This window comes from Homo sapiens, chromosome 6 (genome assembly GCF_000001405.40).
Source record: "Homo sapiens chromosome 6, GRCh38.p14 Primary Assembly".
Classification (NCBI taxonomy): domain Eukaryota; kingdom Metazoa; phylum Chordata; class Mammalia; order Primates; family Hominidae; genus Homo; species Homo sapiens.
This window is the reverse complement of record NC_000006.12, coordinates 8,048,730-8,067,797: the sequence shown is the minus strand read 5'-3', so window position 1 is coordinate 8,067,797 and position 19,068 is coordinate 8,048,730. Positions and strand designations below refer to the sequence as shown.

Genomic DNA, 19,068 nt, shown 5'->3' with positions numbered 1-19,068 from the left:
CCACCATGCCCAGCTAATTTTGTATTTTTAGTAGAGACGGGGTTTCTCCATGTTGGTCAGGCTGGTCTCGAACTCCCGACCTCAGGCGATCCGCCCGTCTCAGCCTCCCAAAGTGCTGGGATTACAGGCATGAGCCACCACGCCCAGCAAGACCACCTACTCTTTTCTCCTCCTTTGCTTTAATCAGTTTTTGCATTTTTTAATTTTTTAACCCATTTCTAAAATAGGTTAGACAAACAAAAATAAGAAATAATGTCAATAAAAGATGTTGCAGAGGAAATCTCATGGAGTGGATGTGATAGAACACAAAATAAACTTAGGAGTCCCTCTATCTCCCACCCTGTGCCAATTATGGTTCCCCTTGATGGGCTTATACTAAGGAATAAATTATAATTTTATTCTTGGTATACATGTAATAACTCATTTATTTTTTAATTTTCAAAAGATTCAACATGGGATTACAGCAAAAAATTTCCCCCAAAGTCAGAACTTTACTTCTACTAAATTGACAATATCTCCATGATTTAGATGTCTTGAGTCTCAAAAAGCACAGTAATTGGAAAAATCCCTTTACAATCCCATGCTTATATTTGTATATGATATTGATTCTCCAATCTTGTATAGAGGTTATGATGTGAGTACAGCTATTCTTAAAAACATAAAGGTACTTAATGTATGATTTCATTTCTATAATATTTTTGAGGTGAAAAAGTTTTTAGAAATAGAGGACAGATGATAGGTTGCCAGAAGTCAGGGTGGGGACAGGGAGGAAGGTAAATGTGGTTATAAACAGGAACCTTAACGAGATCCTTATGGCATCAGAACTGGTCAGTATGCTGACTGTGATGATAGATGCATAAATCTACATGTAATAAAATTGCATAAACTTAAACATATACACACACAATGAATACAAGGAAAACTGGTGAAATCTGAATAACATTGGTGGATTGTATCAATGTCAATATCCTGGTTGTAACATTAGCATTTGCAAAATGTTACCACTGGGGGAAACTAGGCAAAGTGTAAAAGGAAACTCTATTATTTCTTACAACTGCATGAGAAGCTACAAATACCTCAATAAAAATTTCATTTAAAAATACAGGGAAAGTCTTGTCAATCCAGAGACAATAAGAGACAATACAAGACCTTCAGGGAAAGGATAAGAGTCCCATTTTAGCCTCAAAACTCTTGAGATTTCATGGGTCAAAGACCAAGGACACACTCATAGCAGCTGAATGTGCCAGGCGAAATGGCACTGCCAATGTTGCTTCTCAGTCTCCTAGCTGTCTGAGCCGCAGTGTAAAGATTTATATAAAAGCGGAGAGAGAACAGAGGCATATGCTGGACCTCACCATCCCAGAGAACAATACAACTTAATAGTGTATAATCAAATGGCTAGAACACATATTCACAGGCTACAAGCAACAGACTTGCAGAAAAGTAATTGTGTACTTATTCAGTGTTGGCTCCCCTGCAGGCTGCATGAGGAAAGGAAAAGGCTGCATTAGTCTTGTTCACCACTGTGTCTTAGCTCCTAGCACTATGCTGGGCACGTAGCAGCTGCTCAATAACGTATTTGTTAAATGTTTTTGAATGAAAAAATGAAAAGCCCATGTGGCCTGTTAAAGTTAATATGGCTTCTCTCTCCCTTCTCTCCAAATCTCCCTTCCCCACTCTCTCTTCACCCACCACCTATGCTTAAACACATACACAGAGACACAGAGGCAGTTGTTTCTGCCACATACAAGTCAGGCAGTCATTTAACCTCTCTGTGCCTCAGCCTCCTCGTCTGTAAATGAGGACATTAATAATAACTACTTCAAAGGCCGGCCATGAGGATTAAATGAATGCAAATTTGTAGACCACTTACAGTATTACCTGGCATGTAGCAAGTGCCATGTAAGTGTTTGTTAAACTGCAGTGCTATCCGAAGTTAGCACAGACTTCAGAGGTCAAAGCATGGTCCTCCTCAAGACTCCCCTTCAGACACCTGCCACAAGCTTTGGGGTTCCCAGGCCACCTGCACTTCTGACCAGCTGTCTCTGTCATATGCCCAGGGCCTGAGCACTGTCTGCTAGGGTGCCTCAGTTCTCACCCACGCAGCTTCTCTCTACACATGATGTTTCATTGCTATTCGCTTTACTCCCTCAGGTTTCACAGAATGACTCATAGAACTCAAGAAAGTGCTTTCCTTGCTATTACAGTTTTATTATAAAGGACACATATCAGGACCAGCCAAATGAAGAGATGTATAGGGCGAGATGTGGGAGATTTCCCAAATAGAAGCTTACGTGTCCTCAGGAACGCTTCCCCCTCCTGACACTTTGATGAATGATTATCGACCAGTAAGCTCACCTGAGCTTCCACATCCAGAGTACTCACTGGGGTTCCATTATGTAGGCATAGTTGGTTAAATCACTGGCCACATGGCTGAACTCAGTCTCCAGCCCCAATCTGCTCCCCAGAGGTGGGCCTGCTTATGTGACTCAAAGCCTAAGCCCTCATGGTTGGCCGGCCCTTCTGGTGTGGCCAGCCTCCATTCTGAAATCATCTTGGGCCCTCCATGAGCCATCTCATTAGCATAAACTCAGGTGTATTTCCAGAGGCCCACCATGAATAACAAAGACACTTCTATCACTTGGGAAATTCTAAGGATTGAGGGTACCTCCCAGGAACCAGAGTCAAAGTCCAGTCAAATTCTTTATTATACAACGTGAGTTTACTGACTTGAACAGAAAGAGGGAGCAAGAGAAGCATTCTAGGAAACAGGTGTCTAAAAAGAAAGGCAGGAATAGTCAGCCACACTCATGGCATAGTAGGGAAACAGCCCCCAGCTAATTGGCTTTGCTATACAGTAGTCCCCCCTTATCTGAGGTTTCACTTTCTGTGGTTTCATTACCCGCAGGACGGTACAATAAGATATTTTGGGAGAGAGACTACATTCACATAACTTTTATTAAATTGTTCTAATTGTTCATCTCTTACTGTGCCTAATTTATAAACTTTATCATATGTATATACAGGAAAAAACATAGTATATACATGGTTCAGTACTATATGCAGTTTCAGGAATCTACTGGGGGTCTTGGAATGTATTCTCAGCAGATATGGGAGGACAACTGTACTGGAATGCACCAGCTTTGAGCCAAATAACCAGGGCTCTGAGTTTAGCTCCAAAGTTCAAGCACCTTCCTATTCTAGCAGCATCCGCCCTGATCCAGCATGGCGGCAAGAGCTTCTGCCAGTTCACAGCCTGACTACACGGCAGGCGCCTTTCCGGAACCGCCCGCTGGGTAGATTAAATTTCTCCGGCGCCCTGTAATGACACACACACAAAAAAAACCCGGGCGCGCCTTGTAAGAGGGCGGCCGGGTTTGCGCAGGCGCAGCGTGGCCGCGGGTGGGCGGAACTGGTCGGGATGAGTGGCGGAGGGACAGAGACCCCTGTGGGTTGTGAGGCCGCCCCGGGCGGTGGCAGCAAGAAGAGGGACTCCCTGGGGACTGCGGGCTCAGCGCACCTCATTATCAAGGGTACGGAGTGTCAGGGCTATAGTTCCTGGTGGATCCCAGCACAGCCTCATCTCCCAGGCGGCGCCCTCTGACCCGGGCCGACCCCCGGGTCCCGGGCTGGCGCGCGTGCGTTTGTGCGGGTGGGGGAGTCGTGGTCGGTCCCCGCCTTTTTCCCCGCGCCAAATGCGTCCCACCACAACCAACCAGCCCAACTCTTCGTGTTTCCCCGCTTTCCTCTGTCGCAGCCTGAGCCATCAGGCCCGCCCCCGTCCATTCCGCAAGCTCAGGACCCCTGGGCGCAGAGCCTTTGGGCAGCCTCGCCACCGACGTGTAGTGGAAAGGGCATTGGACCTGGGAGGCGGGAGGCAGTCGCTTAGGAGTTGAGTGACTTCGGGTCACTGGCTTTACTCACTCTCCTACCCGATCTGTTCCTGGTCGTGCGAGGAGTAAGTGAGATACACTTACGAAGGCGCTCTATAGCACTGTAAAGAACCATTCACGTTCAGAAATGTCCATGTGTTCTGTGTGCTTTGAGCTGGGAGAAGGTTACAACCTAGATTCTCACAGAATCTGCTTTAGGTTTGACTCCTAAAGCTCACAACGCTGTTTGCTGCGTGAAAGTCTTTGACAGTTGAGTTGTAGTGCTTTATATATACCAGATATAAAGTGCTTATATACAGTGCTTGTATTATTTTTTCTACTTGACATGCTTAAGAAGATATGTACTAATAAAATTCATTAAAATAGAGAATTGAAACCTGCCCATCGTATGTCTGCAAAAATGAAAAATTTGGGGAACATTGCCAGTGAATGAATATGAATAATACATTGTCTTAGATTTAATTTCTCAAGGAATTTTGAGACTTACATTTTAAACTACATAGTTGTAACTAAGAAGAATAATAAACTGACTCACCAAAAGACTTAAATTCAGACCTTTTCTTAATGACTTTTTCAGACTTATGAAAAAGAGACTTACAATGAACATTCACCACCCACCTTAATAAATAAATTACTAAAAGCCCCACTGTGTCTTGCTCTAATTGCACTAGTTCCCCTCCCTCGTCTCAAGGTAGCCACTATCCAGAATTTGGTGTTTATTATTCTTGTGCATTTCTTTATAGTTTTGTTGCTTCTGTCTATATCCCAAAAGGAAATATTTTGAATATTTTAAAGTTTTATGTAAATTGCTTTAATCCTTCTGAAACTTGCTTTTTTATTATATTTATTATAAAATACGTATTATTTTTTATATTTATGTTGATAAGTGTAACTCTGATGTATTTATTTTTACTTGGTGATTGATAGAATTCCATTGTATGAGTATGGTTAAGGTGTTTTGCGTTTTTTCTTTTGATATTACACCTATGCTGTAATAAATATGTATAAATGGCCTTACTCATTTGTGCAAGAGTTTTCCAGGGTACATACCTAGGCATGAAAATGCTAGGTATACATGTCTGCAACTTTATTGAATACTGAAAGATTGTTCTCAAAAGTAGTTGTATCAGTGTACACATCCACTGGCAGTGGATGAGATTTCTTCTTAGTCCATAGTCTAAACTGGATTTTAACCTTCATCTCTTAGTGGGGAAGGGAGAGAGTAAAACAAGCTAGAGATTATGCCATTTAGCATGGATTAACCCTGAATTTCATTTTATCTTTATAGATCTTGGAGAAATTCATTCAAGGCTTTTGGATCACAGACCAGTTATTCAAGGTGAAACTCGTTATTTTGTAAAAGAATTTGAAGTGAGTATTTAAACTTATTTTATAAAAGTACTTCCCTAATTGTTAGTGTGTTATTATACAGAAGAGAAATTCCCCAGTTTTAAAATCGGATTTTAGTTCATGTGTTCATAAAATATACAAAGTAAAAATGATGAAGACGTAAAAATTGTTGTTTTTAATGGGATAAGTTCCATACTAAACAGCAGGATACATAAGTTCTGGTGCCTGCTCTAGGGTATTTAATGTCTGTTGATCTGAGGTTTTTTTAATCTATAAAATGAGATATAGTGGGGGAAAAAAAGGGATTTTAGAGATTGATGGGTCTGAGTTTTTCAGACTCATTTTCTGTAATTTTTTCCTCAATTGAGACATCACCAATTATGCAAGCAGTCAAATTAAAACTTAAGGATTATCCTTGGCTATTTCCTTTCTTACAGGTTCCACATTCAGTGACCCCATCTTTTAGACGTTACCTAGATGTTTACCTCATAAATGTCGATTCTTTCTGACAGGTTTGCCTGCTTTATCAACGAAGTCAAATCCAGTTTTCACCCTGCTGCCAGAGGAATCTAACATTATTTCACTTTTTAAAACCTTTGATACTATTTCTGTCCACAGGATAAAGTCCAAGCATTGTTCTGTGACCTGGCTCCTGCTTTTCTAGCATAACCACCTGCTACTCTACCTTACATACTATGTTCCAGCGACAGTGATGCATGAACATGCCATCTTGTTTCCTATTACTGTAGTTTTGTACATGTATAATTGGTTTATTGTGCTTTAAGCAGTAACTTCTCAAACTGCTGTTGGGATGGTAAATGGTGTTGCACAAACAATTTTGTGATTCTGTGTAAGTTTCAGATTTTTGCAAATGATACTGACCAGTCAGGATGTGCAAACATGCCAAAAGGAGAGTACCTTTTAATAAACCCAGTTGAGGGCTTATTAAAGATAGAGGCCCAGAGCTGTTGCATTAGATAAGCATTTCTGGGTGCAAAAGATGCTGTGACTCATAAACTGCATCATACTTCCCAGGATCTGTGCATTTTAGAATATTGTCTGGGACCTAGGAATTAACTAGGTACATAGCCAAGTTAATTATACATGTTAAGTAACATGTGTAATTGGTTCAGTTAACATGTTAATTAGCGTGTGTAATTGGTTTAGTTAACATCTTAACGTGTATAATAGGTTCATTGTTCGTTAAGCAGTAAGTTCCCACAATCTGATTATACCACATCGTCATCATTTAAAAAAAATTTTTAAGTCTTTTTTATCTTTTTGATATTTTATTTATTTATTTGTCATCATTATTTATTATTCTTATTAGGAATAAGAATAATGTGGGAGACACAGAAAATTATCCAGAGACTATTCCTTTACCGTGCTGTGTAAAGATGGTTACCAATTCCTTAGTAAGAAGAAAGTGGAGGCCAGGCGAGGTGGCTCAATTTATCCCAGCACTTTGGGAGGCCGAGGTGGGCAGATCACTTGAGGTCAGGAGTTTGAGACCAGCCTGGCCAACATGGCAAAACTCCATCTCTACTTAAAAAAATACAAAAATTAGCCGGGCATGGTGGCATGTGCCTGTAGTCCCAGCTACTCGGGAAGCTGAGGCAGGAGAATCTCTTGAACCCAGGAGGTGGAGGTTGCAGTGAGCCGAGAACGCGCCATTGCACTCCAGCCCTGGCGATGGAGCAAGACTCTGTCTCAAAAAAATAAAAAAAGAAGAAAGTGGAAATTTCTATACAAACTTGCTATAAGATTTTTACAGTGTGTTGTATAAATATGTTTTTAAAATTGTATTGAGTTTTACATGTATAGAGTGTGGATTTAGTTCTTAAATGTGGGAGTTATATTTTCTTCTTTTTACTTCACTTCAGCAACCACATTATCAGCAAATCTACCTCTAAAACATATCTTAAATCTTTCTACTTATCTTTCTTGCCACTACCCCTATCCCAACCCAGCTCACCGTCAGCCCTCACCCGGCCACCTGCAGTAGGCCCCTACCTGGTCTCCTTAATTTCAGTCTTATCTCTGTGAAATAACCTTTCTCACACAGTAGCCAAATGGTCTGCAAATCCTGTTGTACCACACCCTTGCTTAGCCTCCTCCTACTTTGGCTTTTCTTTACATGGAAAGCGCACTCCAGCTCCTTGGCTCTACTTAAAAATCCTAGATGATCTCTGACCTCTACTTGTCTTTCAGACTTTATTGTACACAACTCTTCCCTCCTTGTGTTTCAGCCACAATTCTTCCTTTCTTTTTCTTTAACACATCACGATTGTTACAGCATCAGCAATTCCATCTTCCTAAGATGCTGCTACTTCTCATTTTTCGCATGGCTCATTATTTTTGGTTTAGATTGCAGGTTAAGTATCACCTCCAGCCCTTTAATCCAAAGCAGTAACCAGTACACTCTATCATGTCACCCTAATTTACTTCTCTATATGGCACTGTATTCATTTTCTAAGTCTATGTAATAAATTACCACAAATTTAACAGGTCAGAACAGCTTATAGTAACAGCTGGTTATATAAAGTCAAACAAAATGTGTTGAGCACTTATTTTATGTGAGGCATAATATCAGGAAGTAATGATATGCCAGTGAATAAGACAGACATAGTCCCACCCTTCGTTCTTACGGTGCTTTGAAGAATGGTCTTTATTATTGAAGAATGGTCTCTGAAGGGCTCAAGAACATTTTATCAGCTAAGTTTGAGTTGCTTTTCTTGAAAAGTACTTGATCCAGTCTTTTCACACAGTGACCAACACAAGACCAATTGGTCTTCCCTCCCCATTTGGCCTTCCTGAGGGTTTAGTGTAGCACACAACTTCAGGCTCAAATGCCTTTTCTGTCTGTTATAACTCTCATCTCAAATTAGAAGGAAAAAGCTCAACATGTTTCAGAGGCTTTAGGTTTGAATATACATCTGCATTATTTGTACTTCTTTTCTATCATGGCCGAAACAATGATATCAGATAATTAATAAATGTGGTCTTTGGTTAGATAGAGTGGCAAAGCAGAGCTGCTGGTACCTCCTGGAAGTTTCATCTTTTCTGTATCATTTGAATGTAGGTTACTTTAAGAAAAACTGGCTAGCACTTAAAACTAAAGTTGTTTATATGTTTAAAAAACTTAAGGTATATGGCAACAATTACCTTTTTCTTTATAAAATTTTATTTGTAAAAGAAGGGAGTAAGTACCACATGGTGGCAGCATTACTTAAATTATTGAAGTCCTCTTAGGCTATTTTAAGCTCTCTTTTTGTTTTCATTAATATTTAAGGACAGATGACTGTCTGTCTCCTGACTTTATACAAACTCTTTTTCCCTTGATTCCAATGAACATTATGGACAGAGATTCATAAGGATCTCACCTTTCAGGTGGAATCCTTCCAGTGAGTATTAATGTAATAGTATCAGTGGGTAAAGGCATTGTCCTCTGTGCCACTGTCTTTCTAGCCTTGGAGGAACTGTTATGGCCTTTCTCAGGTGGAGCAGAGCAGAGACTGATGGTGGTCAACAAGTATTTAGACATGCTTATAGAGTATATAGTCCTGTATAAGTTCCTTATTTAGTTTTTAGCAAACTTTATTCATGCAATGCTTTATGGAACAGTTATTGAATACCTATGTATATCAGTAAGGAATGTGTTTAGTTAATAGTGACAGATATCTGAAAAATAGTGGATTTAACAAGTGATTAATTTTCTATCACAATATGCAGAGTTTAGAGTTAGCTTAGGGCTGGAATGGTGGCCCTATAACGTCAGCTTTTTCTTCCAGTTTTACCTTCTATCCCCCTAGGATGTTGCCTTTGTCCATATGCTTACAAGGTGGCATTTTTTTTGTTTTGTTTTGAGACAGGGTCACGCTCTGTAACCCAACCTGGAGTGCAGTGGCACGATCATGGCTTACTGCAGCCTCAACCTGCTGGGTTCAAGCAGTCTTCTTACTTCAGCCTCCCAAGTAGCTGGGACCACAGTAACCCGTCCTCTGAATGGAGCTGCATAGCTCCCTTCTCTGTTCTTACTTGTGTTTGTCTTTGAACTAAGAGACCATTCTCTTGTACATGTAAATTAGTCTCTGCCATAAGGAATGAAATAGTTTCCACTACTCTCTCTTGATTCTTCCAGATTACAATGCCATGGCCGGCTATTTTTTTTTTTTTTTTTTTTTTTTTTTTTTTTTTCATAGAGACAGGGTCTCACTGTGTTGCCCATGCTGGACTCAAACTCCTGGGCTCAATTGATCCTCCTACCCCAGTCTCCAAAAGTACTGGGATTATAAGCATGAGCCACCATGCTCGGCCTACAAGGTGGCTTTTGGACCTCCAGCCATTACATGTGCATTTCATGTAGCAAAAAGGAAGGCAGTTAGGAAATAGCTAGCAGTCTCTGTTATAGGCATGTTACCACTCCAAATAAAATTTAGGTGTTGATAGCAAGAGAGAAGGGAATGGAGGCAGAGGTACCAGTCATACAAGACATGTACAAATAAATAGGAAACAATTCCTACCTCCGTGAAGTTTACCATCTAGGGAGAAGAAAGGCATGTAAACAAAGAGTCATCATGGTGTAATTGTTATAAGCACGAAAGACTTGAGAGCTCAGAAGAGGAAACAACTCGAGAAACAACTTCTAAGAGAGCTCAGGGAAATTTTCATAGAATGGGTGATGTTTGGACTGAAAGAAAAATAAGTGTTAGGAAAAATGAAGCAAATGTTGGTTAAAATTAGAGACAAAAAGAAAAGTATTTAATAGTGCAATAATTATAAGAGTTGAGTGGGATTGTTTTAATTAATTCTAATGTGGGTTAAATTGATCAAGAGAAAATTCCTCCAAAGGCAGCACAGGAATTTCACTTGATCTCCTGATTCCTTGTTTTTGGTTAGATTACTAGAGACACTGTCAGGTTAAAACATCATTTTATCAGAGTGTCTGTTCCATATAACACATGAGAAGTATGTGTAGACACCGTATGGTTTTAAATCTGGTGACTGAAAGAAAAATTTAAATTATGTCAGTCTCTCATTTTCTCTCTAATGCTATCAGATTACATCAGAAACCAAGCTTTATGAGTGCTGAGCTTTGCTCTGAGAATTTTCATGCCAGAAACAATATACATATATAAATAAACAAATGTTAGTATATTCTTCCTTGTGTGATAAGTGCGAACAGTTACCCCTCAGTTAAAAATATCAGCATAAAAACAAACGCACACCAGATGGTGAGTTTAAGGGAAGAGACTTTCTAACGTCTTTTTTGTATAATAGTGTCATGGGTTTTTTGGGGTTTTTTTGTCTTTTCTTTTTTTCTTTTCTTTTTTTTGAGACGGAGTTTCACTCTTGTTGCCCAGGCTGGAGTACAATGGTGCGATCTCGACTCACTGTAACCTCCCCCTCCCAGATTCAAGCGATTCTCCGGCCTCAGCCTCCCAAGTAGCTGGGATTACAGGCATATACCACCATGTCCAGCTAATTTTGTATTTTTTTAGTAGAGAACAGGGTTTCACCATGTTGGCCAGGCTGGTCTTGAACTCCTGACCTCAGGTGATCCAACTGCCTCGGCCTCCCAAAGTGCTGGGATTACAGGCGTGAGCCACCACGCCAGGCCTTTTTTTGTCTTTTAAATTGATTATTAATGGGTTGTTAGAGAGCTATGGCTACTAATTCACTTACTGTGTGTAACTACCCGTTTGCCTGCTACAATAAATAACCCTTTAAATAAGTAGTTCTCTTAGTAGGTCACGGACTCCTTTAAGAATTTTTTTCCCCAGAAAAATGCATAGAGAACATGTCTTCAATTTGACTACAATTTCAGGAGCACCCTGGAACCCCAAAGCCCATTTATAGGCCCCAGAATAATAACCTGTCCCCTGAATGGAGCTGCATAGCTCCACTCTCTGTTCTTAGTTGTGTTTGTCTTTGAACTGAGAGACCATTTTCTTGTACATGTAAATGAGTCTGTGCCATAAGCATTGAAATAGTTTCCACTACTCTCTCGATTCTTCCAGATTACAATACCATCTGGAGAAGGTGGCAGTGGCGGGGGCATAGTTTTATGTTTTGTTTTTTTTCCCCCTTGAATATGTCTAAAAACAGAGCAATTAGCACAGCAAACCCAATCTACATCTGTAATAAAACCAGGCAACAGGGTACCCATGATACCAATGGCCAAGTCACCAACAGCTAAAAGGCTTCTGTGGTATCAGAACTGCCAGAGGGAGTGGAAAGAATGCAGAGGGACTTGCGAGAGCCTTGAGTGCTAGACAACCTCAAAATTCCCACCAGATAGATCTGGGAAGCCTGATGGGTGTTTTAGTCTGTTGCGTGATGCTCTAACAGAATACCTGAAACTGAGTAATTTATAATGAGGAGAAATGTATTTGGCTCACAGTTCTGGAGGCTGGGAAGTTATCAAAGGGGCTTCGTCTGGTGAGTGCCTTCTGACTATGTCATCCTATGGTGGGAGGCAGAAGGTAAGAAAAGTTAAGAGAGAAAGAGAAGGGGGCTGAACTTGTCTACTTATAAAGGAAACCATTCTTTTGATGATGGCCTTAATCCATTCATGAGGGCACAGCCCTCATGAACTAATCACCTCTCGTTAGGCCCAGACCCCACCTCCCAACACTGTGGCATTGGGCATTATATTTCCAGCACACAGTTTTGGGGGATACATTCAAACTATAGCAGTGGGCCATTTGGAGAACAGCAGCAGAAACTGGGAGGGGACTTCACAGGCTCCAACTTAGGAGTAGGTGCTAGGGGGCTGTAGGAAAACCTAATGGTGCTGAAGCAGTCAGGGGCTTTGGAACTCCCAAACCAAAACACCCTTTCACAATAATGTTTTACACTGTAGAAAAATTGTAGGAAACTGAATACTTTGTGAAACGAAAAAGGGAGTTATACAACTCTAAAGTTAAAAAGGCTATTCTCACCACCCCTCCCTTCTAAAAATAGTGGAAAACTAATTTCACTTAAAGTCGAGCAAGAGTCAAATCCCACACAATTGATTAGAGGATAAAGAACAGAATAATATTCCTCGAGGAAATAAGAAAGATTTGACCACACAAAAAATAGAACTATAACCTAGTATTTTATTGTATATATTTTTTGAGACAGAGTCTTACTCTTCTCCCGGGCTGGAATGCAGTGGTACAATCTCGGCTCACTACAACCTCCACCTTCTGGGTTCCAGTGATTCTCCTGCTTCAGCCTCCCAAGTAGCTGGAATTGCAGGCACACGCCACCACACCTGGCTGATTTTTGTATTTTTTAATAGAGACAGGGTTTCACCACGTTGGCCAGGCTGGTCTCAAAAACTCATGACCTCAGGTGATCCACCCGCCTCGGCTTCCCAAAGTGCTGGGATTACAGGCGTGAGCCACCATGCCCAGCCTAACCTAGTATTTTAACATGAGCTCTGGGAGCATAAGAAAATTGTAGAAGCAAGGAAAGAACGATATAACTCATAAAAGGAAAAACTCAGAAATGATCAGGTAAAATAATTAGCAAAAATAAAAGGTCAGGTGAAAGAATTCAGGAAAAAGAAATTTAAAAATATTTCATAAATGAAAACTAAACTAAAAGGAACATGAGTGAATAAACAACTGAAGAGTCCTTAAGTGAAGTTGAAAATTGGAATGAAAAATTGAAATATGTGTGATAATGAGCCACTAGAAAAAAGACCAAAGCGATGTAATAGAGCAAATATAAATACAAAAACTAGAAGTCAAAAAAACTTTCTTGAAGTAAAATACTAAAATTATATTGAAGGGCACACTACTACATTCAGGGAAAATTAACCCAGAACAGACAACGCTAAGATAGTTACCAATAAATCTCTTAGACTTTATAGAAAAAGAGTCCTCTGGGCATCCAGACAAAATGGCTAAGTCCTTCATAAGGGCAAGAAAACGCAGTTGTTAACAGATATATCTGTCTCATGCCAGAAGGCAATGGAATAACAGCCAGGGGCTTTATATCCAGCCAAATTGACCCCCAGGTACAGGAACCACACACTATTAGGTCATGCAAGGACTCTGGGATGATTGTTCCAATGAGCCTTTCCTAAGGAATCTGTTACACAACAGAATGAATTTCAGCCAACCAAAATGATTAGAGAGACTTCTACCTAACAACAGTGGGTAAGCATTCAATATATATTTACTTACAGAATGAAGACTAAACCATAGTTAAAGGCAGACAGTGTAATATCCAGTGGCTGTGTGTTCTGACGGTGAAGATGTAGTGTAACTATCAGAAAATAGAAGGAGATGGTGAGTGTATGTGAAAAGTAGGATTTCCTTATTGATTGCCTTGTAAATATTAACTGGAAGTAAAAGGATGCTGTTTCAAATTGGATCCCAAAAAGGAGGGAAAAGCTGGGAAAAGAGAAGATTATCACCTAATATTAATATTGCTAATAAGTAGGAAACCAATAAACAGTCACCAAAAAAGTGAAGGTGTTATATACAAAGTTATCATATAAAGTGTAGGTTGGGTGTCCCTAATCAAAAATTCCAAAATCCAAAATGTCCCAATAAGCATTTTCTTTGAGCATCATGTTAGCATTCAAAAAGTTTCAGATTTTGGAGCATTTCAGATTTTGGATTTTCGAGTTAAGGGTCCTTGATCTGTGTTAGTGTAAACATAACTGTGAGAACAAGAACACCAACTTTTCTAAATAACTGGAAGATACACCAAAAAGAGAGAACAAAGACCACACAGAGAAAGATTTTATATATATATTATGTATGTGTGTGTGAATTTGACTCATGAAATAAGAAAAGTCTATATCACGTTTCTGTTTAAGAAAGGGAATTTAAAAGTATGTACAATATATTGGTATATTTCAGAAATATTGTGGGTTTGGTTACAGGCCTCTGCAATGACGTGAATATTGCAATAAAGCAAGTTAAACAAATTTCTTGGGTGCCCAATTAATAGAAAAGTATGTTTACACTATCCTGTAGTCTATTAAGTTTGCAGTAGCATTATGTCTAAAAAGCAATATACATACCTTAATTTAAAAATACTTTCTTGCTAAGGCTGCTAATAATCTCAGCCTTCAGCAAGTCATAATCTTTTTGCTAATGGAGAATCTTATTTCGATGTTAATGGCTGCTGACTGACTGATCAGGGTGGTGGTTGCAGAAGGTTGGGGTGGCTGTGGCAATTTCTTAAAATAAGACAACAATGAAGTTTCCCACATCAATTGACTCTTCCTTCTACAAAGATTTGTCTGTAGCATAAAATGCTGCTTGGTAGCGTTTTACCCACAGTCGAAGTTTTTTCGAAATTTCATTCTTCTCAAACCCTGCTGCTGCTGCTTTATTAACTAAGTCTATATAATATTCTAAACCTTTTATTGTCATCTCAGTCGTGTTCACAGCATTTTCAACATGTCTTTCTAAGTGTAATCATTTCTAGCTTTTGATTAAAGTGGGAGTTGTGCGACTCTTCCTTTACTTGAACACGTAGAGGCCATTGTAGGGTTGTTAATTGGCCTAATTTCACCAGGAGTAGATTCCATCTCAAGGAACTGCATTCTTTGCTCATCCATAAGAAGCAGATCCTCATCTGTTCAAGTATTATTATAAGATGCAGCAATTCAGTCACATCTTCAGGCTCCACTTCTTTTTTTTTTTTTTGACAGAGTCTCGCTCTGTTGCCCGGGCTGGAGTGGTGCAGTGGTGCAGTCTTGGCTCACTGCAAGCTCCGCCTCCTGGGCTCACGCCGTTCTCCTCCCTCAGCCTCCCAAGTAGCTGAGACTACAGGCACCCGCCACTGTGCCCGGCTAATTTTTTTGTGTTTTTTTAGTAGAGACAGGGTTTCACCATGTTAGCCAGGATGATCTCGATCTCCTGACCTCGTGATCTGCCAGCCTGAGCCTCCCAAAGTGCTGGGATTACAGGCGTGAGCCACCGCACCTGGCCTTCAGGCTCCACTTCTAATTCTAGTTGTTTTGCTTTTTCCACCCCATCTATAATGGCTTCCTCAGCTGAAGTCTAGAACTGCTCAAAGTCACCCATGAGGGTTGGAATCAACTTCTTCCAAACTCCTGTTAATGTTGATACTTTGACCTCTTCCCATGAATCATTAATGTTCTTAATGGCATCTAGAATGGTGAATCCTTTCCAGAAGGTCTTCAATTTACTTTGTCCAGATCCATCAGTGAAATCGCTGTCTGTGGCAGCTATTAAGAAATCTATTTCTTAAATAATAAGTCTTGAAAGTTGAAATGATTTCTTAATCCATGCGCTGTAGAATGAATGTTGTACCTCGGGCGCGGTGGCTCACGCCTGTAATCCCAGCACTTTGGGAGGCCGAGGCGGGTGGATCACAAGGTCAGGAGATCGAGACCATCCTGGCTAACACGGTGAAACCCCGTCCCTACTAAAAATACAAAAAAATTAGCCGGGCGTGGTGGCGGGCGCCTGTAATCCCAGCTACTTGGGAGGCTGAGGCAGGAGAATGGCGTGAACCCGGGAGGCGGAGCTTGCAGTGAGCCGAGATCGCACCCTGCACTCCAGCCTGGGTGGCAAGACTCCGTCTCAAAAAAAAAAAAAAAAAAAAAGGCATGGATGTTCTATCAGCAGACATAATAACAACACGCATCTTCTTGTCTATCTCCATCAGGTAACCAGGTGTATTGTCATTGAGCAGTGATATTTTGAGAGGAGTCTTTTTTTCTGAGCAGTAGGTCTCAACAGTGGGCTTCAGTAAACCATACTGTAAACAGATGTGCTGTCATCCAGGCTTTGTTGTTCCTTTTATAAAGCACAGGCAGAGTAGATCTAGCATAATTCTTTATGACCCTAGGATTTTTGGAATGGTATGTGAGCACCGGCTTCAACTTCAAGTCACCAGCTGCATTAACCCCTAACAAGAGAGTTAGCTTGTCCTTTGAAGCTCTGAAGCCAGGCATTGACTTCTCTCTAGCTATGAAAGTCCTAGATGGCGTTTTCTGCTAATAGCAGGCAGTTTCATATACATTGGAAGTCTGTTGTTTAGTGTAGCTACTTCAGCAATGATCGTAGCTAGATCTTGCAGTCTACGTTAGCATTTGTTGCTTCACCTTGCACTTGTATGTTATGGAGATGGTGTCTTTCCTTAAATCTCATGAACCAACCTCTGCTGGCTTGGCTTCAAACCTTCCTTCTGCAGCTTCCTCACCTCTCTCAACCTTCATAGGATTGAATAGAGTTAGGGCCTTCCTCTCAATTAGGCTTTGGCTTAAGAAAATGTTGTGGCTGGTTTCATCTTCTGTCCAGACCACTCAAACTTTCTCCCTATCAGCAATAAGGCTGTTTCACTTTCTTATCATTCGTGTGTTCACTAGAATAACTTTTTTTTTTTTTTGAGATGGAATCTCACTGTCACCAGGCTGGAGTTCAGTGGCGCAGTCTCGGCTCACTGCAGCCTCCACCTCCCAGGTTCAAGCAATTCTCCTGCCTCAGCCTCCTGAGTAGCTGGGACTACAGGTGTGCACCACCCTGCTCAGCTGATTTTTGTATTTTTAGTAGAGACAGGGTTTCACCATGTTGGCCAAGATGGTCTCGATCTCTTGACCTTGTGATCTGCCCACCTCGGCCTCCCAATGGAATAACATTTTTAATTTCCTTCAAGAATCTTCCTTTTCCACTGGGCACAGTTGCTCATGCCTGTAATCCCAGCACTTTGGGAGGCCGAGGCGGGCAGATCACCTGAAGTCAGGAGTTCAAGACCAGCCTGGCCAACATGGCGAAACCCCGTCTCTACTAAAAATACAAAAATATTAGCCAGGCATTGTGGCACTTGGCTGTAGTCCCAGCTACTTGGGAGGCCGAGGCATGAGAATTGCCTGAACCTGGGCGGCAGAGGTTGCGGTGAGCCGAGATCACACCGCCGCACTCCATCCTGGGTGACAGAGTGAGACTCTGTCTCAATAAAAAAAAAAAAAAAAGTTTCTTTTCCATTCTCATCTTGGCTAAATATCTGGTGCAAAAGGCCTCGCGTTCATCCTGCCTTGGCTTTCAACATGCATTCTTCACTAAGTGTAATCATTTCTAGTTTTGGATTAAAGTCAGAGATTTATGACTCTTTATTTACTTGAACACTTAGAGGCCATGTGGGGTTATTAATTGGCCTAATTTCAGTGTGTCACAGGGAATACGGAGGCCCAAGGAGAGGGAAAGAGATGGGGGAATGGCCAGTCAGTGAGCAATGAGAACAGACCCAACATTCATAGATTAAGTTCATGGTCTTATGTGATTGTGGTTTGTGGCGCCCCAAAACTATGACAACAGTAACATCAAAGATCACTGATCACAGATCACCCTTACAGGTGTAATAATAATGAAAACTTGTGAAATTTTATGAGAATTACCCAAATGTGACAAAGGGACACAAGGTGAGCTCATGCTGATGGAAATATGGCACCAATAGACTTGCTTGAAACAGCGTTGCCACAAACCTTCAATTTGTAAAAAACATAGTATCTGCAAAGCATAGTAAAGTGAGGTATGCTTGCGTACACTTAGAAGTATATACATCCACCGGACACAGTGGCTCACACCTGTAATCCCAGCACTTTGGGAGGCTGAGGTGGGTGGATCGCTTGAGCTCAGGAGCTTGAGACCAGCCCTGGGCAACATGATGAAACCCCGTCTCTACAAAGAATACAAAAATTGGTCGGGCATAGTGGCTTGTGCCTGTTCTCTCAGCTACTTGGGGGCTGAGGCGGGAGGATCGCTTGAGCCCAGGAAGCGGAGGTTGCAATGAGCCAGAATCACACCACTCTACTCCAGCCTGGGCAACAGAGTGAGACCCTATCTCAAAAAAAAAAAAGTATATACATAATTATATACACATTGACATGTATGCATTTATATATGCATGTATGTACTTAAAACAGTGGTTGGATAAGTTGTTAATAATTACCTAAAGGGAAAGCTATGGAGGAGATAGGGTGCAAAGGATAGGAGTAGAAGCTACACTTCTTTGAATGTATTTTGTTTTACAGATATAGTTTTGGAGCCATATAAATGTTTTACATAATTTAAATTTTAAATTTAAAGAGCAATTCCTAAAAATCAAGTAAAATTTACAGAAAAAAGCCTGTGTTTTTGGATGGTGACATTGCTACTCAGAGAGAAATTGTTCCACGTTCTTTCTTTCCTTTCTTTTTTTTTTTGAGACGAAGTCTTGCTCTTGTCCCCCAGGCTGGAGTGCAATGGCGCGATCGCGGCTCACTGCAGCCTCCATCTCCCAAGTTCAAGCGATTCTCCTGCCTCAGCCTCCCGAGTAGTTGGGATTACAGGTGCCTGCCACCACGCCCGGCTAATGTTTGTATTTTTAGTAGAGATGGGGTTTCACCATGTTGGCCAGGCTGGTCTCGAACTCCTGACCTCATGTGATCTGCCCATCTCGGCCTCCCAAAGTGCTGGGATTACAGGCATGAACCACTGTACCTGGCCTCTTTCTTTCCCCCCTCCCCTCCCCTCCCTTCCTCTCCCCTCCCCTCCTCTTCTTTCTTTCCTTTCTTTTCTTTCTTTTGAGGCGGAGTCTCTTTCACCTAGGCTGGAGTGAAGTGGTGTGATCTCGACTCACTGCAGCTTCTGCCACCCTGGGTTCAAGTGATTCTCCTGCCTCAGCCTCCTGAGTAGCTGGTATTACAGGCGTACACCACCATGCCCAGCTAATTTTTGTATTTTTAGTAGAGATGGGGTTTCACCATGTTGGCCAGGTTGGTCTTGAACTCCTGACCTCAGGTGATCCGCCCACCTCAGCCTCCCAAAGTGCTGGGATTACAGGCGTGAGCCACCGTGCCCAGCCA

General features: G+C 41.2%; 1 protein-coding gene and 2 long non-coding RNA genes across 5 annotated transcripts in view, besides 4 other annotated features; all 3 read left to right on the top strand.

Annotated features, from left to right (window-relative positions):
• EEF1E1-BLOC1S5 (EEF1E1-BLOC1S5 readthrough (NMD candidate)) overlaps positions 1-19,068 on the top strand; it is an 89,029-nt gene that overhangs the window by 34,798 nt on the left and 35,163 nt on the right. Inside the window, exon 4 of the long non-coding RNA NR_037618.1 lies at positions 5,182-5,264. This is a non-coding gene — a long non-coding RNA (EEF1E1-BLOC1S5 readthrough (NMD candidate)). The remainder of the gene's footprint in view (positions 1-5,181; positions 5,265-19,068) is intronic.
• Positions 1,826-1,975: an enhancer, noted in NCBI's record as "active region_23957". NCBI's record gives its function as "activates an Ori minimal core promoter by ATAC-STARR-seq in GM12878 lymphoblastoid cells {active_cell/tissue: GM12878}" and the evidence as "EXISTENCE:reporter gene assay evidence [ECO:0000049][PMID:35858748]".
• Positions 1,986-2,085: an enhancer, noted in NCBI's record as "active region_23956". NCBI's record gives its function as "activates an Ori minimal core promoter by ATAC-STARR-seq in GM12878 lymphoblastoid cells {active_cell/tissue: GM12878}" and the evidence as "EXISTENCE:reporter gene assay evidence [ECO:0000049][PMID:35858748]".
• BLOC1S5-TXNDC5 (BLOC1S5-TXNDC5 readthrough (NMD candidate)) overlaps positions 3,384-19,068 on the top strand; it is a 183,165-nt gene continuing 167,480 nt past the window's right edge. Inside the window, exons 1-2 of the long non-coding RNA NR_037616.1 lie at positions 3,384-3,533; positions 5,182-5,264. This is a non-coding gene — a long non-coding RNA (BLOC1S5-TXNDC5 readthrough (NMD candidate)). The remainder of the gene's footprint in view (positions 3,534-5,181; positions 5,265-19,068) is intronic.
• BLOC1S5 (biogenesis of lysosomal organelles complex 1 subunit 5) overlaps positions 3,384-19,068 on the top strand; it is a 50,848-nt gene continuing 35,163 nt past the window's right edge. Inside the window, exons 1-3 of one of the 3 annotated variants that reach the window (NM_001199322.1) lie at positions 3,384-3,533; positions 5,182-5,264; positions 13,426-13,528. In NM_001199322.1, the coding sequence (NP_001186251.1) occupies positions 13,526-13,528 (3 nt within the window). In that variant the 5' untranslated portion in view covers positions 3,384-3,533; positions 5,182-5,264; positions 13,426-13,525. The remainder of the gene's footprint in view (positions 3,534-5,181; positions 5,265-13,425; positions 13,529-19,068) is intronic. The other 2 variants (NM_001199323.1, NM_201280.3) reach the window with 2 other exon arrangements.
• Positions 3,575-4,201: an enhancer, noted in NCBI's record as "H3K27ac hESC enhancer chr6:8063830-8064456 (GRCh37/hg19 assembly coordinates)". NCBI's record gives its function as "activates a minimal SCP1, AML or CMV promoter by ChIP-STARR-seq in primed H9 embryonic stem cells {active_cell/tissue: H9 hESC(primed)}" and the evidence as "EXISTENCE:reporter gene assay evidence [ECO:0000049][PMID:30033119]".
• Positions 3,776-3,965: an enhancer, noted in NCBI's record as "active region_23955". NCBI's record gives its function as "activates an Ori minimal core promoter by ATAC-STARR-seq in GM12878 lymphoblastoid cells {active_cell/tissue: GM12878}" and the evidence as "EXISTENCE:reporter gene assay evidence [ECO:0000049][PMID:35858748]".